This window comes from Homo sapiens, chromosome 4 (assembly GCF_000001405.40).
Source record: "Homo sapiens chromosome 4, GRCh38.p14 Primary Assembly".
In the NCBI taxonomy this organism is placed as follows: Eukaryota; Metazoa; Chordata; class Mammalia; order Primates; family Hominidae; genus Homo; species Homo sapiens.
The window spans coordinates 38221620-38248074 of NC_000004.12; the positions used below are offsets into that span (position 1 = coordinate 38221620).

Genomic DNA, 26455 nt, shown 5'->3' on the forward strand with positions numbered 1-26455 from the left:
AACCTAAAACTGCTCTAAAAAATAAAGTCTTAAACCCAACAACAAAAACCAATGCAATGTAAGGTTTTCCCATTCTCTGTTGGCATGCTCACATTATTGAAAATTTTTCAATATTTCAAAATTTTTCAATAAGAAAAATTTTCAGGAATATTTTTCTGAGTCAACAAATATTTTAAAGCATTTATTATGTGCAACGCATGATGCTAGGTATTGTTGGGGACTCATAACTGCATTAGCCATAGCCTCTACTCAATATCCTTAGGGAGACAGACACATATTAACTTTGACACAAACTCGATTTTGTTAAGAGGTTAAATCAAAATACAAAGGGAATGTAGGAGACAGAAAAGTGAATTTCAGTGGCAGGCACCCGGAAAGCCATCTTAGTGTGATGCGTTAATAAAAAATATAAAACATCATGTTTGAACAGGCAGGTTTGAAGGAGTTGGTGGGGGAGGGTATAGAGGATAGTATTAGGTTGGTGTAAAAGTAATTGTGGTTTTTGTTATTAAAATAACAGTTCTATTCAGGAGTCATGAAAACTGGGTTCTAGCCTTGTCTCTATAATCCTTACCAGCTGTGTGACTTTAGGCAAGTGACTGAATCTCTCTGAGACTCTTTCTTTACCTGTAAAATGTGGGGCGATTAAGAAGTTAATCTCGGCCAGGCGCGGTGGCTCACGCCTGTAATCCCAGCACTTTGGGAGGCCGAGGTGGGTGGATCACGAAGTCAGGAGATCGAGACCATCCTGGCTAACACGGTGAAACCCCGTCTCTACTAAAAATACAAAAAATTAGCCGGGCATGGTGGTGGGCGCCTGTAGTCCCAGCTACTCCGGAGGCTGAGGCAGGAGAATGGCATGAATCTGGGAGGCTGAGCTTGTAGTGAGCCGAGATTGCACCACTGCACTCCAGCCTGGGCGACAGAGCGAGACTCCGTCTCAAAAAAAAAAAAAAAAAAAAGAAAATCTCAACTGATAGGTTTGTTGGGAAGATTTTAGGCCAGTGTCTAGCACATTGAAGGGTCTCAGTAAATGCTCCAAATACAGTGTGTGTGCATGTGTATATGTGCGTGTGTGCATGCGTGTGTGTGCATGCATGTGTGTATGCGTGCATATGTGAATGTGCGCGTGTGTGTGCATGTGTGTGAGTGCTCGTGTGTGTGAGGAGAGTATCTGTTGGTGGGCAGGAATTCAGGGAGCAGAGGTGGGGAGGGCTGTGGCTGACTGTGTGTATGGGTGGGTGGTGTTGACAAAATGAGGGGAAGAAGATGTATTGGGACATACGACTGGAAAGCTACATAAGAATCCAATATTGAAAACTCTTAGATTTTACTTTGTTGGAAACAGGAGCCAATAATGTTTGTGGATCTGATGATTAGAAAGTCCTCTCAGGTCTTGGAAAACATGACCAGATCCTGTGCTTGTAGACTCATGTGTTTATGATACCTCTATTTGGTGCCACTCCCTGAAGTTGTACCCCAATCCCACCCACACCTCCTTTCTTAAAGGCAGTCTTTTCCACATGTTTTGAGGCCTGGAGAACAAAGGTGATGCGAGCTTAAAAAAAAATTAAACCAAAATTATTTCTCACCCAGTTACATGCTACAAACCAGCTTTCCTAGGTTTGCTCACACAAACTCCAAAAAAGTAATGGGGTAAGGGGAAGAGGTTTACAAGGTCAGAAGAAAACATCGAACCACATGAGACTTGATTCACTTCCATGGAACTGGTTTTGCTCCCCTGCTACAATATCCTGTAAAATTGTAAATAAAGCATTGGAACTAATAAATCAATCACAAAGGGACCTTCCTGCTGCCAACCCATCCTCTGGAGAATGAAATCCTGAGGGCAGATTTAGGGAATTGAAATCAGAATCTGTGCAGTTGCCAAAGTGCCCTGCCTTGGCCTGCCAAGTTAAATGTGAACTTTTGTGAACTTTCTTTGCAGCAGTTAGAATCAGCTTCTTTTGTGCAATGCAATTCCAATTTATGGCATTATTGAAGATAGGGTTTCAGGGAAATACACCAGGCCAGTGCATTTGTTTGGCCCATGAAGCTTAATTGCCAATGTTAAATCTATGGCCCTGGCAATCTTCTCTGATTAAAAAGCCACTGGGAGCCCAGTTTGGGGCCACTCTTCTTTATTACTGTTCTTCTGTAGAAAGTCGAAGTATTCATCCCATCGTGGGAGTTAAAAGCCCAAGTCAATTATTAATTGCATTTGTTTTCTTTCTGAATTAACCCATGTGACCCGTGGCATTTGCACCTTGTGTTAACCATTAGACACACAAATGAGCCCTGTATTTATTTGGGTGGCAGAGTTCTAATGCCTGTTGTTTACTTTATAGTGAGGGAACTGTGCAATCAGTAGGACTTTTCCAGGAAGAGAAACAGGGGTCCTGCCTTCCGTCCTCTGGTTTGAGGAAGCAGCTCTGTTTGCCTCTCTTTGCTCCCTTACTCAGGCTGCTCACAGCGAAGCCTTTCAGTGTCTGATATAAAAGTCCCTTTGATTGTGCGGTGGCCACAGGGTCTGGCTGTGGGTCTGGGTGGCTTGCAGGCGCATCACTAACCAAAACTAGATCCAGCAGAGGCGGCTTCACACTTCTCATGAATTCCGGCATCTTTTTTGTGTTAAAGATCTACTTTTCTTACAGCAAATATTATGTATGTTTTTACTCTTTGAACTCTTTCCATACTTAATGGAGGTGGAGGCGGGGCAGTTTGTAGATGTACTCTTGCCAAGTTATTAGTTTTAGATAAAGTCATCTCAGGTTTGAGCAAGAAAATGAAAGCCTCTGATTATCAGATTCTCTGGAACTTCTCTTCCTGCCAGAAACAATGTTGAGTCTGGCCCTCTCTCTCCCAGCTGCTTTCATTGTATTGCCTGAAATGGTATTTTTTAACTGTTTCTAATGCCAGTGAAACGAGGCATTAGAGGAGGAGAAGGGGAGTGGTTGGGTGGCACGCTTAGTTCATAATTGTCTGGGTTAGGAAAGAATCTCTTAATGAGAATTGGATGGGGAATTAGGATCCTGTGGTGGGGGGCAGGGGTTTGTATTTGTGTGGGAAAGGAGTTAAAGACTTTGTTTTATTTCATTGCTTCAATTTGCTTTGGGTTGTTATTTAGTTTCTTTTGAGATTTACATAACATTAAATGAGGATGTGGCTTTTTAAAATGTTTTTTGAAAATGAGCCTGTCTTAATCCATTCAGGCTACTAGCATAGAATGCTATAAACTAGGTAGCTTATGAACATAGAAACTTATTTCTGACAGCTCTTGAGGCTGAGAAGTCAAAGATCATGTTTCCGGCAGGTTCCATGTCTGGTGAGGTTCTCCTTCCTGGTTCACAGATGGTTGTCCTTACGTGAGGGAAGGGTAATGGAGCTCTCTGGGGTCTATCTTTTATATGGGCACTAATCTCATTCATGAAGGCCCCATCCTCATGATCTCATCACCTTTCAAAAGACCCACCTTCAAATACAATCATGAAAGGAACAGGTTTCCACATATGACTTTTGGGGGAACACAAATATTCCGTCTATAGCATTCTGCCTCTAACCCCTCAAAATTCATGTTCTTCTCTCATGCAAAACACATTCATCTCATCCCAACAACCCCCAAAGTCTTAATTTGTTCCAGTATTACCTAAAAAATCTAAAGTCCAAAGTCTCGTCTAAATATCACTTAAATCAGATATGGGTAAGACTCATCCTGAGGTGAATTCCTCTCCAGCTGTGACCTGTGAACCCAAACAAGTCATGTGCTTTCAAAATACAATGGTGGGACAGGCACGGGATAGACATTCACACTGCAAAAGGGAGAAACAGGAAAGAAGAAGGGAGTGAAAGATCCCAGACAAGTCGAAAGCCCAGTGGAATAAATGACATTAAACTCTAAGGCTTGAGAACAACCTTCTGCCTTCTGGGTCCCCTGGGGCTGGGGTCCTGCCTCTGCACTTCTCACAGGTTGGAGTCCCATGTCTGTGGCTCTCCCAAAGAGGGAGGCTTTTATATATCCATCTTGTATGTATTCCTGGAATGCCAGATTCTTTTCTTTCTTTTTTTTCTTTTTTTGAGACAGAGTCTTGCTCTGTCCCCCAGGCTAGAAGGCTGGAGTGCAGTGGTGCAATCTTGGCTCACTGCAACTTCTGCCTCTCAGGTTCAAGCAATTCTCATGCCTCAGCCTCCCGAGTAGCTGGGATTACAGACATGCACCACTAGTCCTGGCTAAGTTTCATATTTTTAGTAGAGATGGGGCTTCACCAAGTTAGCCAGGGTGGTCTCAAACTCCTGACTTCAAATAATCTTCCTTGAATCACCTTGGCCTCCCAAACTGGGGTTACAGGTGTGATCCACCATGCCCAGCCTTGGAATGCCAGATTCTTATATCCAATTGCCTATTTGCCATCTTTCCCTGGATGTCTGGTAGGCATCTTAAACTTAATATATACAAACCAAACTCATGACCTTGCCCAGGGCAAATTGGATTCTCTCCTGTTTGTCCTATTTCAATAAATGGCAGATCCAGCTTCCAGTTGTTCAGGCCAATTACCTTAGCATCATCTTGATGCCTCTTTTTCTTTCAAACCCCACATACAATCCATCAGCTCTACCTTTATAATATATTCTGAATCCGACTCCTCATCTCTTCCCATCTCTGCCACTACTCTCCCACCTCCAGCCCCTGCCATCTTTGCCTGGACTATTGCAATAGTATCTGCCGGCTCTCCCTGCTGTGTTCTTGGCCTGCTCCCCATGTTCTCTTCTAAATAGCCAAAGGTTTTAAAAGGTCAGCCAAATCATGCCATCCCCTGCTCAAAACCTTCCAGTGGCTTCCAAAATCTCTCTGAATGCAACCAGAAGCTCTTTCTATTGCCTTGCAAACTGTACCTGATTTACCCACTTGCCTTCTTGATCTCATCTCCTATTCTCCCCTCCACTCTGACCTTTTTGCTGCTTTTTGTTTGTTTGTTTGTTTTGTTTTTGTTTTGTTTTTGAGACGGAGTCCCGCTCTGTCGCCCAGGCTGGAGTGCAGTGGAGCGATCTCAGCTCACTGCAACCTGTGCCTCCCGGGTTCAAGTGATTCTCATTCCTCAGCCTCCCAAGTAGCTCGGATTACAGGCGTGCACCATCACTCCTGGCTAATTTTTATATTTTTAGTAGAGACGAGGGTTTCACCATGTTGGCCAGGCTGGTCTCGAGCTTCTGACCTCAAGTGATCCACCCGCCTGGACCTCCCAATGTGCTGGGATTACAGGCATGAGCCACTGCACCCGGCCTCTTTGCTGTTTCTTAAACATGTTGGCTGTGCGTCTGCCTCAAGTCTCACATTATACTTTGTGTTCATCTTCCTGGAATATGCTTTCTCCAGTGATTCAAAGTCACCTTAATAAGAGAGGATTTCCCTGAACACCCTATCCAAAACAGTGGCTCTCTGCCGCTCTCTGTCCCCTAATCTTCTTAAATTCCTTCTTGGTCCTTCACATTTACTACATCTATGTTGGCCTGCTATATTATTTCACCTCCTATTTGAATAAAAGCTCTATGAAAGCGGGCACTTTTTAAAAATTTGCTTCACCTAGAACTATGCCTAGCACATAGTAGGTACTCATCAAATACTAGTTGAATGAACTCCATGAGGTCCACAGAGAAACACCTGGAATGGCATTACAGGCTGATGACTCCCGAGGCAGCTGTCAGAGTCTAAGAAATGACTGAAAAGATCAAGGAACACATGCGTAGTGTGAACCCAGATGGAAATTAAGTACTTCTCTATTTTCTTCAGTGAATAGTTCAGCAGTTTTGTTTTATTTTCTCAAGAGAATGAGTTGGTCAGGCACGGTGGCTCACACTTGTAATCCCAGCACTTTAGGAGGCTGAGGCGAATGGATCACCCGAGGTCAGGAGTTCGAGACCAGCCTGGCCAACATGGTGAAACCCCATCTCTACTAAAAATGCAAAAATTAGCTGGGCATGGTGGCAGGCACCTGTAATCCCAGCTACTGGGGAGACTGAGGCAGGAGAACCACTCGAACCTGGGAGGCGAGGTTGCAGTGAGCCAAGACGGTGTCACTGTACTCCATCCTGGACGACAGAGCAAGACTCCATCTCAAAAAAAAGAGAGAGAGAATGAGTTAACTTCAGTGGCTCATCAAGTTAGTGTTTTCTTATAGTAGCTCAATAACTCATGCCACTTACATATTTCTGTGTGTGTAAAATCCTAACAAGCTTTCCCAGTTCCCTACTGTGTCCCAGTCAACAACCATTTCATATTTTAGCTTGGTTAGACATACAATCAATCTTACTGTTGGCTACAATCCTGATATGACCTACGCTCTCTAATCAAGAGGCTGACAATCTGTTCTGGACACCACAAAGAAGAGCCAATATTCTCATTCTCATGAGGTTCCAAACACCGTTTTGGAGCTTTGGCTCAGGATCTCTAATTTGCATTTCACGTTTGTTGGGGATTCTCATGTTCTTTACAACAATCAGAGCAATAACAATTTTTAAAACCCTTGAAGATTATTTCAGAAAACCAATTATTAAATATCTTATTAGGGATCTTGGATGTATGGAAATCTTATATGTATTTACACCTAAAAACTGAAGATGATGAATTTAATATACTTATCTAAGTTAGCTTATCTATATACTTATCTAAGTTAGCTTATATATATACTTATCTAAGTTAGCTTAGATAAGTATATTATCTCAACTCAAACTCAACTAAAATTATAGCAAAAACTTTTTTATTTTTATTTTTTTTTGGCTGGAGTGCAGTGGCACAATCCTAGCTCACTGCAACCTCTGCCTCCTGCGTTCAAGCGATTCTCCTGCCTCAGCATCTTGAGTAGCTGGGATTACAGGCACGCACTACCACGCCCAGCTAACTTTGTATATTTGGTAGAGATGGGATTTCACCATGTTAGCCAGGCTGATCTCGAACTCCCGACCTCTGGTGATCTGCCCACCTCGGCCTCCCAAAGTGCTGGGATTATAGGCATGAGCCACCATGCCTGGCTGCAAAAACTTTTTTTTTAAAGCATAAACTCATAAGGACAGGGAGAACAGGAGAGGAGATAGCAGCAACATAATTTTGAAAGCTGGACGAGAGATGGACACATAGTAACTGCCTCAGTGGATCGGAAGAAGCCATAGCTTATGGTGCCAGTGAGGACAGAGGCTAACTTGCCTGCCCAGAAGGTGTGAGTACTTCTGGAACTGTGGGTGGAGGGGGAGCTAATATAAGAAGCAACTGAAATGAACGTTGCTTGAGAAATCATTAGATCTCTAGATCACCTTCCCCCAATCCACGCCACTGAGGGTTTATTTCTCATATGGCTGAAAGACATTGTGAGGTTTATTATTGTTATTATTTTAAGAGAAAAGGTATACAAACTTATCAACATGTACTTGGGGAGAACCACAGAGTGATTACTCCTGGAGGGTTTTTCTCTGGAAAAACAAGGGATCTCTGTTTGGGAGACACCAGGTAGATGGGTGCCCTGTCCAACATAAGGCAATTGACTGCATGCAAATTGAACACTGATGGTACAGATTCCCCCCCAAATTGGCAGGAGATGCTTTAAGCAAGGCCCAAATGGTAAACGAAAAATAAGCAAAATTAGACTCCAGTGAATGAGCCTCTGTAATCAGCAGGGACTTGGGTCTTGACAAGGTGATATTCACAATGTCTTCAATCAGCAAGGGCATTAACAAATCAGAAAGATGCCAGATATAGACAATTGACAAGGCCATACCCAGACCTACATTGTGTGGTTGTGCAGGCTGTGCACTGCACAATTGTAGGCAGCAGTCCTGGCCAAATCAGAGCATATAAGCTGAATATTAGTTTTAGGTTTAGGTGATCTGTCCTTACTTCTAATTTGACTTGAATTTCTTACAGGTAGGGCCTAGGATATTGTCAGGATTATGTCTTTTGTGATTGGTTATTCCAAGATTGGGAACACAGGCCCCAGAGCATGGTCACCCTGCTAGTCTATTTTTTCCCTGTGGCATTTCATATTAGTCAATTGATTTTGGACTCATAATTGTTAATGAAATAAGCACAAGAAGCAGTTCCTGGTGAGGAAAGAAAAATAAATATTCCAAGCCCGTCTCCAAATCAGTGTAGTAGAAAATTGATGTTAATTGAAAACACTTTAACTCAGCAAAACTCACAAACACAATTTTTTTTCCAAAGTGTTTGCTAAATTAATTATTCTAACATTTATCCTAGGTTCTTAAAAGCAATATTGTTTGCACATGAGTGATCTAATGCGCAACTTTCCTTTGCTTGACAGGATCGGGGGAGGAAGAAGAGAGACGGGTGGACCTAGAATTCTCATATAAAAAGGCATCTAGCTCTTCCCTTCCTAATTACCTGAGTGCTCACTCTGAACTGCTCACCTGATGTTAATGAACATCAGGCTTGTCTGAGAAAATGCCAGCCTTTAATTAACGGGGCTGATTTATTTAGCTGAAGTCTGAATTTAGGCAAAGGTTAAAAGAAGTCACAGTTAGAACCTACTGCCTGATAGAACTTTCAAGCCTCCTGGAATTTTGCATTGCAATTGTGTCTTCTTAATTTATTGCCACTGAGCGATCCAGAAAGTTAATGTGCTCATTTGTATAAACAGCGTAGCTGTAAATCATTCACTAGTTCCCTAACTGGTCTTCATGGAGGTACAAAAGGAAATGCTTTTAGGTTGGTGGCCTCTCATTTCTGTCCTTTGCGGCCACCTGGATTTCCACAGAAGTTTTGCTCTCTTGGGTCCCTCTTGGGTCTCCTGTGCTCTGAGTGCATGCTTTTGGGCCAGGTTCAAACCAGGTTTGATGCTGCTACCTGCTGTTTCTTTAGGTGCAGCAGTGGGTGCGGCCGCAAACAAAAACAATTTCATCCTGATGAACCAGATGGTTGGGACTGGTGTCAGCAGGGCGGGTCCCTGCTTGCTCTTACTCAAGCCCAAGGTAAGAGCCTGGAGTCACACTCTTTATCTCTGGCTCCTGACCTGGGGTCAGAGTGCCAATAAACCAGGCCGTTTCAGACATGCCTCGTGATATGTCTGGGCGCTGGACTGTGGGATGTGGTCCTGGAAAAAGGAGATGTTGGTCATCATCCGGCAGTGACTGAGGCTCAATTTTCTTTCTTGGAAAAATCTGAAGGGGTTGTGGGATTCAATCCCTGGTGAGTTAGAAAAGACTTCCCTGTGACAGATGACCCCATACTCATGTGAATTTTCCTAGGCCGATATTCTTACTCTCAAACTCTCATTAACCTCCAAGCTAGCTCTATCCTTCTTCCAATGCTGCTGTGCTCTGCAATCATGCTTGTGGCTGAGGGCACTCCTGGGGGCCAACAGGTATCGGAGGCCCATCTGCAAGTCCCTCCCACTTGTCCAGGCCCCTGGTCTTGGCTTTCGGAGAAGCTCTCACCTGGCCGGGCATGTGTGACCCAGATGAAAGAATTACAGAGCAGCTTCCACAAATTCCCAGTAACCCAGGCCTAGATATTAAAATTCAGTTTCAAACAGAGTTCTAAGACAATAAACAAAGGTCCGGTATGTCTCTGCCACACACCAGTCCGGGGTAGATTTCCCAAGCATTTACCCCGGAAGGAACCTTTCTCAAGGCAGAAGCCTTATCTATTCTGGAAACCTGGCTTTCAGTTCCATGCAATGCATATAAACCTGCTCCTACAAGAAGGGGCTGCATCAGACAGATATTAGTTTCTCTCTTCTACTTCCTAGCTGTGTGACCTTGGAGGAATTACTTAAACTTTCTGAGTTCCAATTTCCTTACTTATTAAGTGGGCTAATAGCACCTATCCTGGAGGGTTGGGTTGTTGGAAGAATTAAATGAGATAGTATGTCAAGTGTGGGTGAAGAGAAGCATTTCAGTACTTGGAAAAGCTGTAGCATCTACTTAATGTGTGCTATCAGTGGACTAACTAGGCACTGGGGTACACCCAGGAAAAGGCACAACACAGCTTATGGCCCCGTGGGGAAGTCGGACCCATGAACAGATCATTTCACATGTCATGAGGGTTTGGGGAGCAGAAACCCAGAGGCACGCAGATGGTGCTAGAGGAGCTCATGTGAGTCCAGCTGAAATCTGGTACTACTTGAATTTCCTTGTTTCTTTTGTTTGTAATTGCCTGATAGTAACGTGTTTTCTGGCCACAGTTGGAGTCATGGGTGTAACTAGGTGGGGCAGATGAGGCCAAAGGCCAGGTGCAGCCTGGGGAAGAGGTGTGGGGGTGAGGTAAGGTGTGGTGTACAGGGCCTTGCCCTACCATAAGCAGCCTACAGGGATGCTACTTCCTGGAGAGGCAAAACCTCATCATCAACATCGGCCAAGATGGACCATGACACTACTTAATCTCTCTTTATCTAGCCAGGGCTGACGAGGTAGTCTGCAACGCGAGATGCCTGCAATTGCACCAGTTGCTGAACAGCTCTTCCTCCTCTTCCCCACGCACTCAGGCTCCTTGTAGTACCTCTTCTTGGTGATAGTCATAGAAACCATCTTGCAGTCATAGCCACTTTTCATGGGCATCTTTTACCTCTAGTTGTTTTTGAGGATGTTCAAGCTGTTAGTGACTTTAACCTCTCAGCAAACCTCAAACTCCGGGCCCAGTGAAATGGGTGGCCAACATGGATGTGATGTATTTCATCAAGTCTTCAGCCATTCTTGGGTTCAACAATAAACTCACCAGCCTGGCCCTGGAAGCTGCCCACAACGTATCCCCTACCAAGTTTCCCATTATATCTCTCCAGGTTTCACATCCTATTCTATTCAGCCACGGTGCCTTTGTTCTTTCTGTCTGAAATGTTCTCTATCCCCTCGGATTGGATGCAGTCTTTTGGCAAATTTTGGGCACCTCTCTCAAAATATATATGTTGTCTTTGCTTATAGTTATGTGAGCACTCATCTCCTCTCTTCTGCAAGACGGCCAGCTAATGAGGTGACGGTGAGGACCATACCTTACTCCCAGTTGTATTCCCCGTGCCTTACACATCGAGTGTGCTCAATAAATACTTGTTGAACTGAGGATGTTAACAGAATGTGGTTAAACATGCACAGTGCACCAGATGGTGACTGGAAGGGAAGGGAATCTAAAGCCCCAGTCCTAGGTTTCATAAGTCTTCCAGACTTGCCTTGGTCTTAGGTTGCAAACATTAAACTCATTTTGAGCCTTCATAGTGTTTAAACAAGAACTTGCCCTTGATGTGGCTAAATTAACATCAGAAATGGATAATGAGCAATAGAAAATAAGGTGTCTGTGGGTAGCTGTGATTAGTAATATTCTCTGTTGAAGGACAGGTCCTGGGTATCTGGGGTTTTTGCAGGCACTTTATATGACACATAGATGTAAGTTTTGTTCAGACAGCTCCCCCCACCCAACTGGTGGCCCTACAGATATCCTGGATGAATTAGTGAAAGTCATCACCTAGTAGAACAATAATTCAGTTCAAAGTCCAAGAAAAACATCACAGGGTTGGTTTGAAATCTAACTCTGTAGGAGACTAGACTAGTCAGTTATTATTGTGATGATGCTGTGTAACAAACAACCTCAAAGTCCCAGTAGCCTTCAATAACAAATGTGCACTGTTTGTTCATGTGTTCATCAGTGGGTATGGGTTAGGTGCAGTGGCTCGGGGCTGCCTCTGTCTGTCTTCTTATTTTGGGATCCAGCCTATAGGGACACCCCCATCAGCAAACAATGTTCTCATGTTAAAAAGAAGGAGTTCAAGAGAGCTGGCAAGTACTCGCAACACCTCTTCAAGGCTTCACTTGAAACTGGCATGTTATCATTTCTGCCCACATTTTATGGGCCAAAGTATTTTACATAGTCAGGTCCTAAATCAATGGGGCAGGGAAGAGGAGAGTGAGACGGGAGAGGGAATATTTGTGAAATGATAATTCAATCTACTACAAAGACACTTAGAATATTTTATTCCTTCTACTGATAGAACTATGGATTCCTTGAAGAAAGAGCGCAGCTCCTTGTTTCTTGCCTGGTACATTATTGACACTCTGTACATATTTGTTGAATGAATGATTGGCTTTCCATGGCTCAGTTTAACTAAGTGCATAATATTCATGGAGAAGGTGCTTCCTTGTAGAAACAGAGATCATATGGAGATTGTAGATCACTGGAAGTTCCAATCCTAGTCAAGTCAAATAAATGCTGCTGTCCCCTGTGGTGGGGCTGTCAGGGCAGCCAGAGTCATCCTCGGGAAAACCTGTGGGTGAACAAATGTAAAGAGGCCATTTGGGTGGCTCCCCACCCACTGCCACACCCAGCACAGGCCAGGCAGTGGATGGAGAGTAAATAGGAGGTTTCATCTGGCGAGACTTCCACCACCTGGTAAAGTAGGATGGCTGTGCCCTTCAGAGGGAAGCTTGTTATATAAGTTTAACCTTAACAAAGTGGGTAGCTGAAGAGGGGATATTTCTATGCTAGGAACAAGCTCCTTTTAAGAGGAATTAAAACAGGATTCCTCCAACTAGTGTAGTGGTGAAGTCAAGAAAGTTGGACTGGGAGGCTGAGGCAGGAGAATCGCTTGAACCCAGGAAGCAGAAGTTGCAATGAGCCGAGATTGCGCCACTGAACTCCAGCCTGGGCAACAAGAGTGAAACTCCATCTCAAAAAAAAAAAAAAAAAAAAAAAAAGGAAGTTGTACTTTGGAATTGAGCAGGCCTGCCTTGGAGTCCCAGCTCTACCACTTGCTGTGCGACCTTGGGCAGGCCACTGCACCTGCACCTCTCTCAGACTCAGTTTCCTTGACTGTAAACTGGGAAGAATGAGAATATTTACTTCAAGGTCTCCTATAGGAATTCAGTGAGCTGATGCATACAAAATTCTCAATACACTGCCCAGTATGTGGAGAACATAGTAATCGGAAGCTATTATTACTATTTTCAACATCATTATCTTAAACATATTGACTGAATTTCAAATGTTATAAAAACTTCATGACACAATTCCCCAGGAAAACATCTGTTTTTCAAGGCAAGGACCTCCTTTAGCTCTTCTTAGGAAGAGTGAGAAGCAAAAATGTTACAAAGGGAAGCACAAAGGGAGAGTACAGAAGAAAGAAAAGGAAGGGGACTGATCTTGAGGCATCTGAAGAAAAGTTAATAAGAATTGACTGGAAAAGAACTCTTGAGTTTTGAGAGTTGGTGGAGGAGACAGAGAAAGTCCAGAGCTTATGTTAGGAATTGGGATTTAAGGGACCAGAACCAAGAGAGGGGCTCCTTTGTGGGATACAGAAAACCAGAGGATAAGCTCAAACATACTCACTGGGAATAAACAAGAGTTGAAAGCCTGGAAAGTTTAGAAGAAGCACCAATTTCATGGGTCCAGAGGTGGTGGTGGTAAAGGTAGCCATGTCCAAGGTGTAAACTCTAGAAGAAATTGGCTAGGAGTGAGACCATGTCAGGGAGGAAAAGGGGTCCTGGGTGGTACATGTGAGCATCTTGGGACATGCACAGCTTGCCTAACAGGCTGGGATGGGTCAGGTGTGTGAAGACAACAGCCTTGGGAAGAGCAGAGGCAGGGCAGATGGCATGAAGGTGACAACACTGCTTCAGCCATGCCAAGATTGAAGGGACTGTTGGGTGCTGGGGGCAAGCCTTTGATTACAAGGACATGAAGGTTCCCCTCCCTTTCAAAATGTTCCTTTTCTTAGGAACAACTGCCTTCCTATTTTCTTGGATTTCCACAAAAATAGGATATCATGGAATATTACTTTAAGCCCCCAGCAAAAAATAGACACTTTCACCCATTTGAAATGCATATAATAAAAGGCACTCTTTTTGCAAAAAGCTGTGCCTCTTCAGAACATTCTGGGTCACTAGTTTCACAGCTTCTGCACATTCTCACAGCACAGAGCATGTCTGCTTTGCTCATAGATGTGTGCTCCGTGTCTAGCTCAAGTGTCTGGCGCATAGGAGGCGCTTGATAAATATTTGTTAAATGAATAAATGGAAAATTCTGAAACATCTGAAATAACTCTTGTTAAAAGAGTTTCTAAGTCTTTTATATTAACAAATGTGAGAGCTCCAAAAGAACTAAACATTTGTGGATCTGAGAGAAGGATGGGAGGCAGATTAGGGGTAACTGCAGTTTGTCTGGAGGCAGAGGTGATGGGCTTGGACTGTGTGCAGCCCAGCCCTGTGGTGGCATTATCCTAGAGCTGGTCATATTATATGGTGTATCAGGATCCCAGTAAAGAACAGATGCCACTCTCATACTGAGTAGACGGAGGAGGGTTTAATAGACTATTCACATGAGATGGGCGAGTTGTAGGGGAGCCACTGGAGACTGTTCCTACCCTGTATTAGTCAGGTTCTCCAGACGGACAGAACCAATGGGATATATGAATATACGAAAGGGAGTTTATTAGGGAGCATTGGCTCACACGATTACAAGGTCAAGTCCCACGAAAGGCCACCTGAAAGCTGGGGAAACAGAAGCCGGTAGTGGCGCAGTCCAAGTCCAAAAGCCTCAACACCAGGGAAGCCAACAGTGCAGCCTTCAGTCTGCAGCTGAAGGCCCGAGAGCCCCCACCGTGAAGCAGCTGCTGCAACTCCCAGATTCCAAAGGCCAGAGAACCTGAAGCCTGATGTCCAAGAGCAGGAGGAGCAGAAGCAAGCTTTTATGTGGGAAGGAGAAAGAGAGCCAGAGACCTCAGCAAGCGAAGCTCCTCCAGCTTTTTCTGCATGCTTTATTCCAGCCATGCTGGCTGCCAATTGGATGGTGCCCACCCACATCGATTGTGGGTCTTCCTCTCCCAGTCCACCGACTCACGTGTCAATCTCTTCTGGCAACACCCTCAGAGGCACACCCAGAAACAAGACTTTACCAGCTATCTAGACATCCCTCAGTACAGCCCAGTTGACACCTAATATTAACCATCACACACCCCTGGGGCTGAAAGGGCAAGGAGAGTGTGCGGGTGGGAGACTTTGGAGGGATAGCTGTGTAAAGAGGTTGGGCCTTCAGTAGAAGGACTCAGCCATCCTGCAGCAACCCGGGGAGGAAGCTGAGTGAGGGACCCTGACCTCACACCAACATCCCTCCCACCTCCTACAGTGCTCCCTATAGGCTGAACCTAACTGGAAGGCAGGGGCTGTGGAGTCCATTGAGGCACCCTTCCTAGCCAGCCTCCTGGGGTACAGAGCAAGCTAGGGAAGGTGGAGAATGGATATGAAAAGGTACGTGGGAGGGGGGGCTCTTAAATGAGCCTGAGGAAAATCAAATGGGAGGTGGAGTCTTCAAGTTCCACAGTGTGCTCACTGCTTAAGGCACTGCAGGGGGTTCTGATGGTGGAGTCCAAATGTGTGGTCATGTGGGCTGAAATGAGAAAGCATGGAAGTGTCGTGAAACGCAGGGATGAAACTGACAAGGTGGGGCATGGGTGGGGCCAGGGAGGTCAGCTTGGGCGTTGCCCCTTTAATCTTTATTAATGACCTATAAGATACAAACACCTTGTTGAAATTGACCAAGGTCACCTAATGACAAGGTGTTACAAACTGGCAAAGAAGAATGAATGAAAGACTTGCTAGTGACAAATGCTCCTGGATTTAAAGGCAGGATCTGGCCAAAGGAGAGTTAGCAATCGAGGGCAGCGTGATTCAAAGCACACACATCCACTAGGAGGTAGAAAACAGGAAGGGCCAGATGTGAGCAACCTTAGCTAAGTTAGAGTGAAACAGTTCACAGGAAATGCCAACTTGCTGGGGACTTTTGGTGGAAGGAAAAATCCATGCTGGATGATTCATTTACAGCATATACATATTTGGCAACCATGAGTTCAACAACCAAAATTATTTAATTAACCAGAAACTTGCACAGTCCAAAATCCAAGACGAGCTGTGTGTGCTAGTGGAAGCCTCTTGCAAAACCTACATTAAAATATTATATGTTGACTGGGGGCAGTGGCTCACACCTGAAATCCCAGCACTTTTGGAAGCCGAGGTGGGTGGATCACCTGAAGTAAGGAGTTCGAGACCAGCCTCGCCAACATGGCAAAACCCCATCTCTACTAAAAATACGAAAATTAGCCGGGCGTGGTGGCGGGTGCCTGTAATCCCAGCTACTCGGGACGCTGAGGTAGGAGAATCACTTGAACCAGGGAGGTGGAGATTGCAGTGAGCAGAGATCATGCCACTGCACTCCAGCCTGGGTGAAAGAGCGAGACTGTCTCAAAAATAATAATAATAGTAAAATAATAAAAAATATTAAATGTTGCGGAATAAAAATAAAAGTTGTTTCAAATTTTTAACATACCCTTTGATGCAGAATTCTACTTCAAGGAATTTATGCTAAAGAAATAATGAGGACAATTCTTAGAGCTGTAGGAAATAGGATTTTCATTGTAGAGTTTGTTATAATGGCTTCAAATTAGAAATAACCTCTCTGCTCAATGGTAGGGGATTGTTAGAGATATTTTGCTAAATATAAAAATAAATGTTAGAGATGAATTTTAACATCATTGGAATATGTCCAATATGTGGTTTAAGGCAGAAGAAAGAGACTCTACAACACTATGATCCCATTTTGGTTACACACACACTTACATACAGAAAGACTGGCAAGATTGCTGTGAAATGATTAAAAGTGATCCACTGTGTAATGTAGCACTAAAAGTAATTTCAATTTTTTTCTCATCCAAATTCCCTACATTTCTACAGTGGAGGTGTATTACTTTATGGTATGAAAACAATTTTTTTTTAACCCACAGAGAGTACTTTCTTGTCTCTCCTGCAGAATGTTAGCTCTCTAGTGTTTATATCCGAATCAGTGAGGTGAGATAGAGACAGATGTGAAGAGGTGCTTAGCGGGGGTTGGATTGAAGGAGCACAACAGAGGTCATGGTGCATTCTGTGGCAACATAGAAGAGTGTGTCTGAAGACCAGTGGAAGGTAGTGAATTTCTGAACCTCAAGGAGAAAGGTCATCTGCTTTATACACTATTTATTATTAGGTTGGTGCAAAAGTAATCACGGTTTTTGCCATTACTTTTAATGGAAAAAACCACGATTACTTTTGCACCAACATAATACTTTAGCTTTGAATAAAAATGAAACAGGCCGGGCGCAGTGGCTCACGCCTGTAATCCCAGCACTTTGGGAGGCCGAGGTGGGCGGATCACCTGAGGTCAGGAGTTTGAGACCAGCCTGGCCAACATGGTGAAACCCCATCTCTAGTAAAAATACAAAAATTAGCCAGGCATGGTGGTGCATGCCTGTAGTCCCACCTACTCGGGAGGCTGAGGCAGGAGAATCACTTGAACCCGGGAGGCGGAGGTTGCAGTGAGCTGAGATCGTGCCACTGCACTCCAGCCTGGGCAACAAGAGTGAAACTCCATCTCAAAAAAAAAAAACAAAAAATGATACCACAGTCGATTTGGGGGGAATGGGGTTGGGGTGTACCTAATAGTAGATTGTTAGGACTGAAAAGGATCATCAAAATCATTAGTCCAACATGCCAGAGGGCCCTCTAATAACAGGTATGAAGCAATCACTTGGTAAACATCTAAATTTCTAATAAAAGAGGATTTTTAAAAAGTAACTTTTAGAAGACTCAACAGAGGAAATCCTGGACATTGTTACTGCATTACCTCCAAAATGAGGTTATAGAGGAACCTCAGCCTTTGCAGGAGGCTCTTTTGCAGGTGGCTTCTCAGGTTTGCAGAATACAATTTGTAAACAACTGAGATCTTCTGAGTTCTAAAATGGTTTGATTTCATGGATCTAGGATTCCTTATTCCCCTAGTAATCCTAATTTAACAGAAATTATAGGAATGGGATATAATTTGCATTCCAAGATTTCAGGAAGAAATGTTTTGTTCCCTCTATTTATAGACATTTATTTAGCATCTATTCTATGCCAGGCATTGTGCTTGGTGGTGAAGAGAACAAGATGAAGAAGACAGTCTTCACATTCAAGTGGAGGAAACAGACTCGAAACAGATCATCATAATAGAATGAGACAAGTTTCATAATAAAGGCTCATACAAAGTAATAAGTAACACAGAGGAACAGAAGAACCTTGAGGGTAAAGTATGACTTAAGAAGAAGGATATTTAAACAGAGCCTTGAAGGACAGGCGAACTTTTAGTGGTCAAGGAAAAGAATACGTGTGTGTGAGTGAGTGAGTGTGCACACGTGTGTGAAGGACAATGAACTTCTTGCCAGGACTGAGCAAGGCATGACAATTTTTTGCATATCTTCTTTGGTAAAGTGTCAAGTCTTTTGCTGACTTTTTATTGGTTTGTTTACTTTATTATAATTTAGAATTCTTTTGATATTCAAAGGATTAAAAGGATATACGAAGGATTCAAGTCCTTTGTCAGACACATGTATTACAAAAATTTTCTTCCCAACTTTGGTCTGCCTTTTCATTAATGATGAAAGGAGCAAAGTTTTTAATTTTGATAAAGTCCAATTTATAAATGTCTTTCCCCATGGTTCATAGTTTTTGTGTCTTGCCTAATAAATGTTTGTCTACATCAGGATTGCAGATTTTGTCCTACTTTTTCTAGAAGTTTTATATTTCTAGCATCTATTAGCATCTCTAGTTAATTTTGGTGTATAGTATGGGGTACAGGTTCATTTTTTTCCCATATGGCTGTCCAGCTGTTCTGACACTACGTGTTTAAAATACTATCCTTTCCACCATAGAAAATCAAATGTTTAGGCCAGGCGTGGTGGCTCATGCCGTAGTCCCAGCACTTTGGGAGGCTGAGGTGGGTGGATCACCTGAGGTCAGGGGTTTGAGACCAGCCTGACCAATATGGTGAAACCCCGTCTCTACTAAAAATACAAATTAGACAGGCGTGGTGGCGCACGCCTGTAATCCCAGCTACTCTGGAGGCTGAGACAGGAGAATTGCTTGAACCCAGGAGGCAGAGGTTGCAGTGAGCTGAGATCGCGCCACTGCACTCCAGCCTAGGTGACAGAGCGAGACTCCATCTCAAAAAAAAAAAAAAAGAAAATCAATGTTTAAAATCAATCAACCATATCTGTGTGGGTCTATTTATGGAAGCCCTATCCTGCTGCATTGATCCGCATGCCTATTCTTATGCCAATACCAGGTTCTCTTGATTACTGATTTTAAGTCTTGAAATCTTATACTGTAAGTCTCTGATGTTGCTCTTCTTTTAAAAAATTGTCTTGGCCATCTTAGATCTCTTGTATTTTACTTCCATATAAGTGTCATAATTGGCTTGTTAATTCCTAAAAAATGGCTACCTGGACATTGATATTTTGTTGAATGTGTAGATCAGTTTGGGTAACTGACAACACTATTGAGTCTTCCAATTCATGAGCATGCTATGTTTTACATTTGTCCAGTTTCTCCTTGACTTTTGTCAGTAAATGTTTGTAGTTCTCATTGTACCAGTCTTGCACATATTTTGTTAAAATTATTTCAAAATATATCATGTTTTTGGTGATATTGTAAGTTGATTGCTTTCCTTCCATTGCCAGTTTTTTGGGTTTTTTTTTTTTTTTGAGACAGAGTTTCACTCTTGTCACCCAGGCTGGAGGGCAGTGGCACGATCTCAGCTCACTGTAACCTCCGCCTCCCGGGATTCAAGTGACTCTCCTGTCTCAGCCTTCCGAGTAGCTGGGATTACAGGTGCCTGCCACCACACCCAGCTAATTTTTGTATTTTTAGTAGAGATGGAGTTTCACCATGTCGGGCAGGCTGGTCTCGAACTCCTGACCTCAGGCGATCTGCCTGCCTCAGCCTCCCAAAGTGCTGGGATTACAGGCATGAGCTACCACGCCCGGTTCGCCAGTTGTTTTTTGATAGTATATAGAAACACCATTTTTATGTTGACCTCACACCCTGGGGCTTTGCTAAACTCAAGTATTAGTTCTGGGAACTTTTAAACAATAGACTCCTTAGGAGTTTTTAGAAACATGGTCATGTTATCTGCAAATAAAGAAAATTTTACTTTCTTCCTTTCCATTCTTGATGTATTTTATTTTATTTTGGCCTTATTAAACTGGTTAGTGTAATTCCTGATCTTAAAAGGAAAGCATTTAAACTTAAAGAGTGTCTAACATGCCAGGCACGGTGACTCATGTCTGTAATCCCAGCACTTTGGGAGGCTGAGGCGGGTGGATCACCTGGAGTTTGAGACCAGCCTGACCCTGATCAACATGGTGAAACCCTGTCTCTACTAAAATACAAAATTTAGCCAGGCATAGTGGCAGGGGCCTGTAATCTCAGCTTCTTGGGAGGGTGAGGCAGAAGAATTGTTTGAACCCAGGAGGCAGAGGTGGCAGTGAGCTGAGATCACGCCATTGCACTCCAGCCTGGGCAACAGAAGTGAAACTCCATCTCAAAACAAACCAACAAAAAAAAGTGCCTAACACACTGATGCTTCCAGGGAGGTGTTACATGGGGCTCCAAGAATGTCAACCATGTCCCCCTTCTTCATGGCTGACTTTGAACCAGGCCATTGTCATTTCTCCACTAAACTTTCCCTATAGCTTCCTACCTTTTCTCCCTACTTCACTCCACCCCCAGCCCTAGCTCCACTCCCAAGTCTATTCTCCATTCAGCAGCCACATTATCCTTTTAAGACACAAGTCAAACATCACCATAAGGACTCCTCCTCTTTTTCCCCCATCAGCCTCACTTTGTCTCCTTGGCTGAATCCCTCCACACCCCTATTTTAATGCCGTGTCTTGACTCACCTTCCCAGGGCGTGACATGCCTGCTCACGAATACTAGATTCATGGATCTTGATCTTCCTCTCTTAGCTCCTTCTGAACTAAACTCAACGAATTAAACTCAATTTGCACAGTAAAGTTGCTGAAAGGAGCTCTTAGAACCTCAGAATGTCTGGATCTTGGTGACCATGTGTAGAGAAGTCTAGGAAGGCTGGTAGGTTTGCCAAGTCTAGGAAGACAGACATTCCCTAGGGCTTTGCTCTGAAAACCCTGAGTAATATGAGTGTCTCCTAAGGTGAGCGATAATGACTTTTTACCTTTCTTGCAGGTCCTTAATTAGGGACTCCATAACAGACGCATCGTGTTAAATGGGACAGGAATTCCATTAGAGGAGAGAATGAGTAGGAAACTCCTTGGCCAGGACACAATGTTCAATCAGTTTTATGTTTGCAATAATGTCTTTGCCCCTGAAGACTGTATCCATCATCCAGTAGCTTTTGGTGAAAAACATCTTAAATAAACAGGAAGGCCTTGTCCTCCCCAGGCATCATCAATCACTCTGGCAGTCAATCAATCAGCAAAAGCTTTCTGGGGACCTATCACTCCCTGGCATTGTGGAAAGTGCTTTCACATGCCTTATCTTTTTTATTATCCTCAGGTGGGTAGGACAGATGTCACCCTCTTTCAGGCAGGAATCTGAGAGGCTGAGTGGCATGAGATCACATGGCTTGCCAAGGACAGACTTGGGGCTGGAACCCAGTTTCCTGATCATCTCTGCACCCAGGTGGAGTCCCAGTGCACCATGCTCTCCGCCATCAGAGGCTCTTTTTCTTTAAAAACAATGACTTGTGCTTTGAGGTCGCTGTAGATACCATCTTAAAGAGACTCTCTCACTCAACACATAATCAACTACAGCAGGAAAAGCCTGGGGCGGCCACCACCTACTGCAGAGAGAGACACACACAGAGAGAGAGAGAGAGAGACAGAGAGAGAGGACGGGAAGTAGGAAGTGGGGGGCTCACCAGCAGCTATGGAAGAGAAATAAAGGGAGACCATCTCTAGGGCTTGTCAGCTTTCAGGCAGCTGTATTCTTCCCAGCTCCTTTCTAATCAGTACGTCCTCTTCTAAAGGGTGGTTCCCACCACTCCTCCCGCTCTGCCTCTCTTAGGGAGCCCTTTAAAGCAGACGCTTAAGCTAAATAAACACACAAGTGAAACAAGCCAGGGCTGTGGCTGTGAAGGATGTAGCCAGTGAGCTCAGTGGACTTGGGCAAGTGTGTGTGTTTGTGTGTGTGTGTGCTGTGTGTGTGTTTGTGTGTGTATGGTGTGTGTGGTGTGTGTTTGTGGTGCGTGTGTGGTGTGTGTGCATGTGTTTGTGTGTGTGGTGTGTGTGGTGTGTGTGTGTGTGGTGTGTGTGTGGGGTATGTGTGTGGGGTGTGTGTTTGTGTGTGTGGTGTGTGTTTGTGTGTATGGTGTGTGTTTATGTGTGTGGTGTGTGTTTGTGTGGTGTGTGTGAGTGGAGTGTGTGTGTGGTGTGTTTGTGTTTGTGTGTTTGTGGTGTGTGTGTGGTGTGTGTTTGTGTGGTGTATGCTTATGTGTGTGGTGTGTGTGGTGTGTGTTTGTGTGGTGTGTGTGTGTGTTTGTGTGGTGTGTGTTTATGTGTGTGGTGTGTGTGGGGTGTGTGTTTGTGTGGGGTGTGTGTGTGGTGTGTTTGTATGTGTGCGCGCCAATATGAGGGGAAGGGTAGTGGGGACTCCTGGGCCCCCAGCCCTTTGCCCCTCTCTCCTGTGTTCTATTCCCTGGGCCTCTTTGTTTCTTGTGTCTTTCAAGCACCCATCACATGCCTTGATAGGTCACTGCTGCTCACCTTCATCCTGCTGTGTTTCCATTTGTGTCTGCCTTCCAGCCCTCCTGCCCTCCTGCCCTCCCTTCCTCCACTTCTCTTTTTTTTTTTTTTTAATTTTGAGATAGAGTGTCGCTCCGTCGCCCAGGCTGGAGTGCAGTGGTGCGATCTCAGCTCACTGCAACCTCCGACTCCCTGGTTCAAACGATTCTCCTGCCTCAGCCTCACGAGTAGCTGGGATTACAGGCGCCTGCTACTATGCCCGGCTAATTTTTGTATTTTTAGTAGAGACGGGGTTTCACCATGTTGGTTATGCTGGTCTGGAACTCCTGACCTCGTAATCCACCCACCTCGGCCCCTCAGAGTGCTGGGATTATAGGCGTGAGCCACCGCGCCCGGCCCCCTCCTCCTTCCCTTGCTTCCACTTTCAGTTGGGTAGATCTTTCTGTGATCTTAGAAAACACGTGTTTAGCTGATGGACAGTAGGAAGAGTGTGGGCCACGGAGCCTGAATTTGAGCCTCTCAGAGCTCAGTTCCTCATGTATAAAATGGGGTTGACTATCGTACTACGTTAAAAGCTGTTGGGAAGATTAAATAAATAGCACGCGTTGGATGCATGGAACAGTGTCCGACTCCCTCAGGACTCCGTAAGGTTGAACATTCGCACAATTGCAGGATTCCCCATTAGCAAGGCACCAGAGGCAAGCAGGTGTGGGTCCTGCTTTGATCCCTGGATTCCTAGACCCCTAAAGCTCAGGCTTTATCACAGTATACAAATGCCATTTTCTGTTTGGTCCTTTTTTTTGCTTATCTTACTCTAGAACTGTTGGACCACATAAATAATTTACCGAATAGGGGACAGAGGAGACACCTAGAAAGATTTGGGACCTACACTTGGGACAAGGCAACTCAAAAGGAGATGAGAGTACTGTATCTGGCTTCTGTGAAAACTTTGTGATGGGCAAATTAATTTTTCTTGGTCTCAGTTTCTTAAACAATAACATAGGGATCATTAAATGCTTCACGGGGTTTTGTAAGGGTCAATGAGCTGATGTCTGTAAAAGAGCTTTAAAACTCTAAAGCCGGACAGGTTGGGATTGAGCGGCTAAGGCTACCCTCTCTAACCCAAGGAAAGAGCCTTGGGGAAAATCATAGACAATTAGAGCTGGACTAATCTTGAGGTTATGATCCGAGTGAGGTACTGCCACAGTCTGAATGTGTTCCCCCAAAATTCATGTGTTGAAATCCTAACCCCCAAGGTGATAGTATTGAGGTCATAAGGGCAGAACCTTCACGAATGGGGTTAGTGTCCTTATAAAAGAGACCTCAGAGAGCAACCTCACCCCTCCTACCAGGTACAGAAAGCACCATCTATGAACCAGAAATTTCTCTCCCACCAGACACCAAATCTTCCAGCACCTCGATCTTGCACTTCCCAGTCCCCAGAACTGTGATGAATAAATTTCTGTGACTTATAAGCTACCCAGTCTATGGTATTTTTGCTACAGCAGCCTGAATGGACTAAGACCGGCACTTTACAGCTGAGAAAACATGATGGAAAGAGGAGGTGACCTGCCTGCAGCCACACAGCTGTTCAGTGAGAGTCAGGACCCGGGTTCCAGTGTGTGCTTCTTTACCTATGACACAGAGAAGGGCACAAAGGGAGAAGAGATCCCAGTACAGGAAGCCCCCGACTTAAAATACTTCCACTCACAATTTTTCTACTTTACAATGGTGTGAAAATGACCTGCATTCAGTAGAAACTCTGAGTACCCATACAACCATTCTGTTTTTCACTTTCAGTACAGTATTAAAATGAATTCCATGGGATATTTAATACTTTATTATAAAATAGGCTTTGTGTTAGATGATTTTGCCCAACTGTAGGCTAATGTAAGTGTTCTGAGCACCTTTAAGGCAGGGTAGGCTATTCAGTAGGTTAGGTGTGCCAAATTCATTTTCGCCTTATGATATTTTTAACTTCTGATAGGTTTACTGGGGTGTAACCTCTTTGGAGGTTTAGGAGTATCTGTACAATCCCACTGATAGATTTCCTGTGGACAGCTCTCAAGGAACCCATTTAGATATTTCAAAAGTGGAAAGCAGAGTTTGAATTCTAGCCCTGCCTACATGCTTTAAAAATAAACAAACAGGGCCAGGCTCATACCTGTAATCCCAGCATTTTGGGAGGCCAAGGTGGACAGATGGCCAGAGCCCAGGAGTTCAAGACCAGCCTGGCCAACGTGGTGAAACCCCGTCTCTACTAAAAATACAAAAATTAGGTGGGCACAGTGGTGCATGCCTGTAATCCCAGCTACTCAGGAGGCTGAGGCAGGAGGATCACTTAAGGCCAGAAGGCTGAGGCTGCAGTGAGCCAATCTGTGCCACTGTACTCCAGCCTGGACGACAGAGTGAGACCCTGTCTCAAACAAGACAAACGAACAAACAGTTCTGTTAGTTTTGACAAGTGCATACAGTCAGGGTAACCACCACAATTGATATAAAAGACATTTCCATTACTCCAAATTCTCTCATGTTCCATTTGCCATCAACTCTTCCTCCAAACCCCCGGTAACTGCTGATCTGTTTTTATCCCTATATCATTTGCCTTTTCAGATGGACATATAAATGGAGAATATAAGTGGTACACATAGACATATAAATGGACATATAAATGGTACATAGTCTGTACCTTTTGAGTCTGGGGTTAGTCACTTATCATAATGTATTTGAAATGCATTTAACCATCTTGTTGAATGTCCCAGTAGTTGGTTTCTTTTCATTGGTGTATACTTTTCCATTTCATGAATGTATCACAATTTGTTTAACCATACACCAGTTAATGAACCTTTGGGCTCTTTCAAGTTTTTGACGATTAAAAATAAAGCTGCTGGGCTGGTCGTGGTGGTTTACTCCTGTAATCCTAGCACTTTGGGAGGCCAAGGTGGGCAGATCACGAGGTCAGGAGATCGAGACCATCCTGCCTAACACGGTGAAACCCCGTCTCTACTAAAAATACAAAAAATTAGCTGGGTGTGGTGGTGGGCGCCTGTAGCCCCAGCTACTCGGGAGGCTGAGGCAGGAGAATGGCATGAATCCAGGAGGCGGAGCTTGCAGTCAGCCAAGATCACACCACTGGACTCCAGCCTGGGCGACAGAGCGAGACTCCGTCTCAAATAAATAAATAAATACATAAATAAATAAAGCTGCTATAAATATTCACATACATACATGTACTTTGTTTTCTCTGGGATGAATACCTAGGAGTAAAATTCCTGGATCATATGCCAAGTATATAGAAAATAACTTTATAAGGAACTGCCAAACTGTTTTCCTAAACACTGTCCCGTTTTGCATTTCTGACAGTAATGTTTCAAAGTTGCACTTGCTCAGCATCCTCACCAGCACTTGGTATTGCCAGTTATTTTATTTTTCCATTTTATTGGATATGAAGTAGTATCTCATCGTGGTTTTATTTTGCATGTCCTCATCACTGATGACATGAAACATGTTTTCATGTGCTTATTTGCCATTTGTATGTCTTTCTTGGTAAAGTGACATACATTCAGTTCAAAGCATCTGTTCACTTATTAAAATTGGGTTTTGTTTTCTTATTACTGAGTTTTGAAAATTATTTAGATATTATGGATATAAATCCTTAATTACATTACACTTTGCAAATATTTTTGTCCTAATCTGTAATGTGTCTTTTCATTCTCTTAGCAATGTCCTGGGAAGAGCTGAAGTTTTTAAAATTAGATAAAGCCCAATTTATCAATTTTTTTCATTTATGGATTATGCTTTTGTGTTTTATTTAAGAAATCTTTGCCTTAGCTAAAGTCACAAAGATTTTTCTTTTATAATTTCATAGTAAGAGGTTTTATATTTGGGTTTCTGATCAATTTTGAGTT

At 43.8% G+C, this 26455-nt stretch overlaps 1 long non-coding RNA gene across 1 annotated transcript, besides 3 other annotated features; it reads right to left on the reverse strand.

Annotated features, from left to right (window-relative positions):
* Positions 1-11938: 11938 nt before the first annotated feature.
* Positions 11939-21836, reverse strand: LOC105374408 (uncharacterized). Its single transcript, XR_925214.3, has 2 exons — positions 21725-21836; positions 11939-12251 (listed from the first exon to the last, which is right to left on the reverse strand). It is a non-coding gene; the product is annotated as an uncharacterized LOC105374408 (long non-coding RNA).
* Positions 21617-22118: an enhancer, noted in NCBI's record as "H3K4me1 hESC enhancer chr4:38244857-38245358 (GRCh37/hg19 assembly coordinates)". NCBI's record gives its function as "activates a minimal SCP1, AML or CMV promoter by ChIP-STARR-seq in primed H9 embryonic stem cells {active_cell/tissue: H9 hESC(primed)}" and the evidence as "EXISTENCE:reporter gene assay evidence [ECO:0000049][PMID:30033119]".
* Positions 21760-21929: an enhancer, noted in NCBI's record as "experimental_79581 CRE fragment used in MPRA reporter constructs". NCBI's record gives its function as "activates a minimal promoter by MPRAs in K562 erythroleukemia cells, with activity observed for both the introgressed and non-introgressed 4:38245085 variant alleles {active_cell/tissue: K562}" and the evidence as "EXISTENCE:reporter gene assay evidence [ECO:0000049][PMID:34662402]".
* Positions 22895-23092: a silencer, noted in NCBI's record as "fragment chr4:38246135-38246332 (GRCh37/hg19 assembly coordinates)". NCBI's record gives its function as "represses an EF-1alpha promoter that drives an FKBP-Casp9 reporter gene in an ReSE screen in HepG2 liver carcinoma cells {active_cell/tissue: HepG2}" and the evidence as "EXISTENCE:reporter gene assay evidence [ECO:0000049][PMID:32094911]".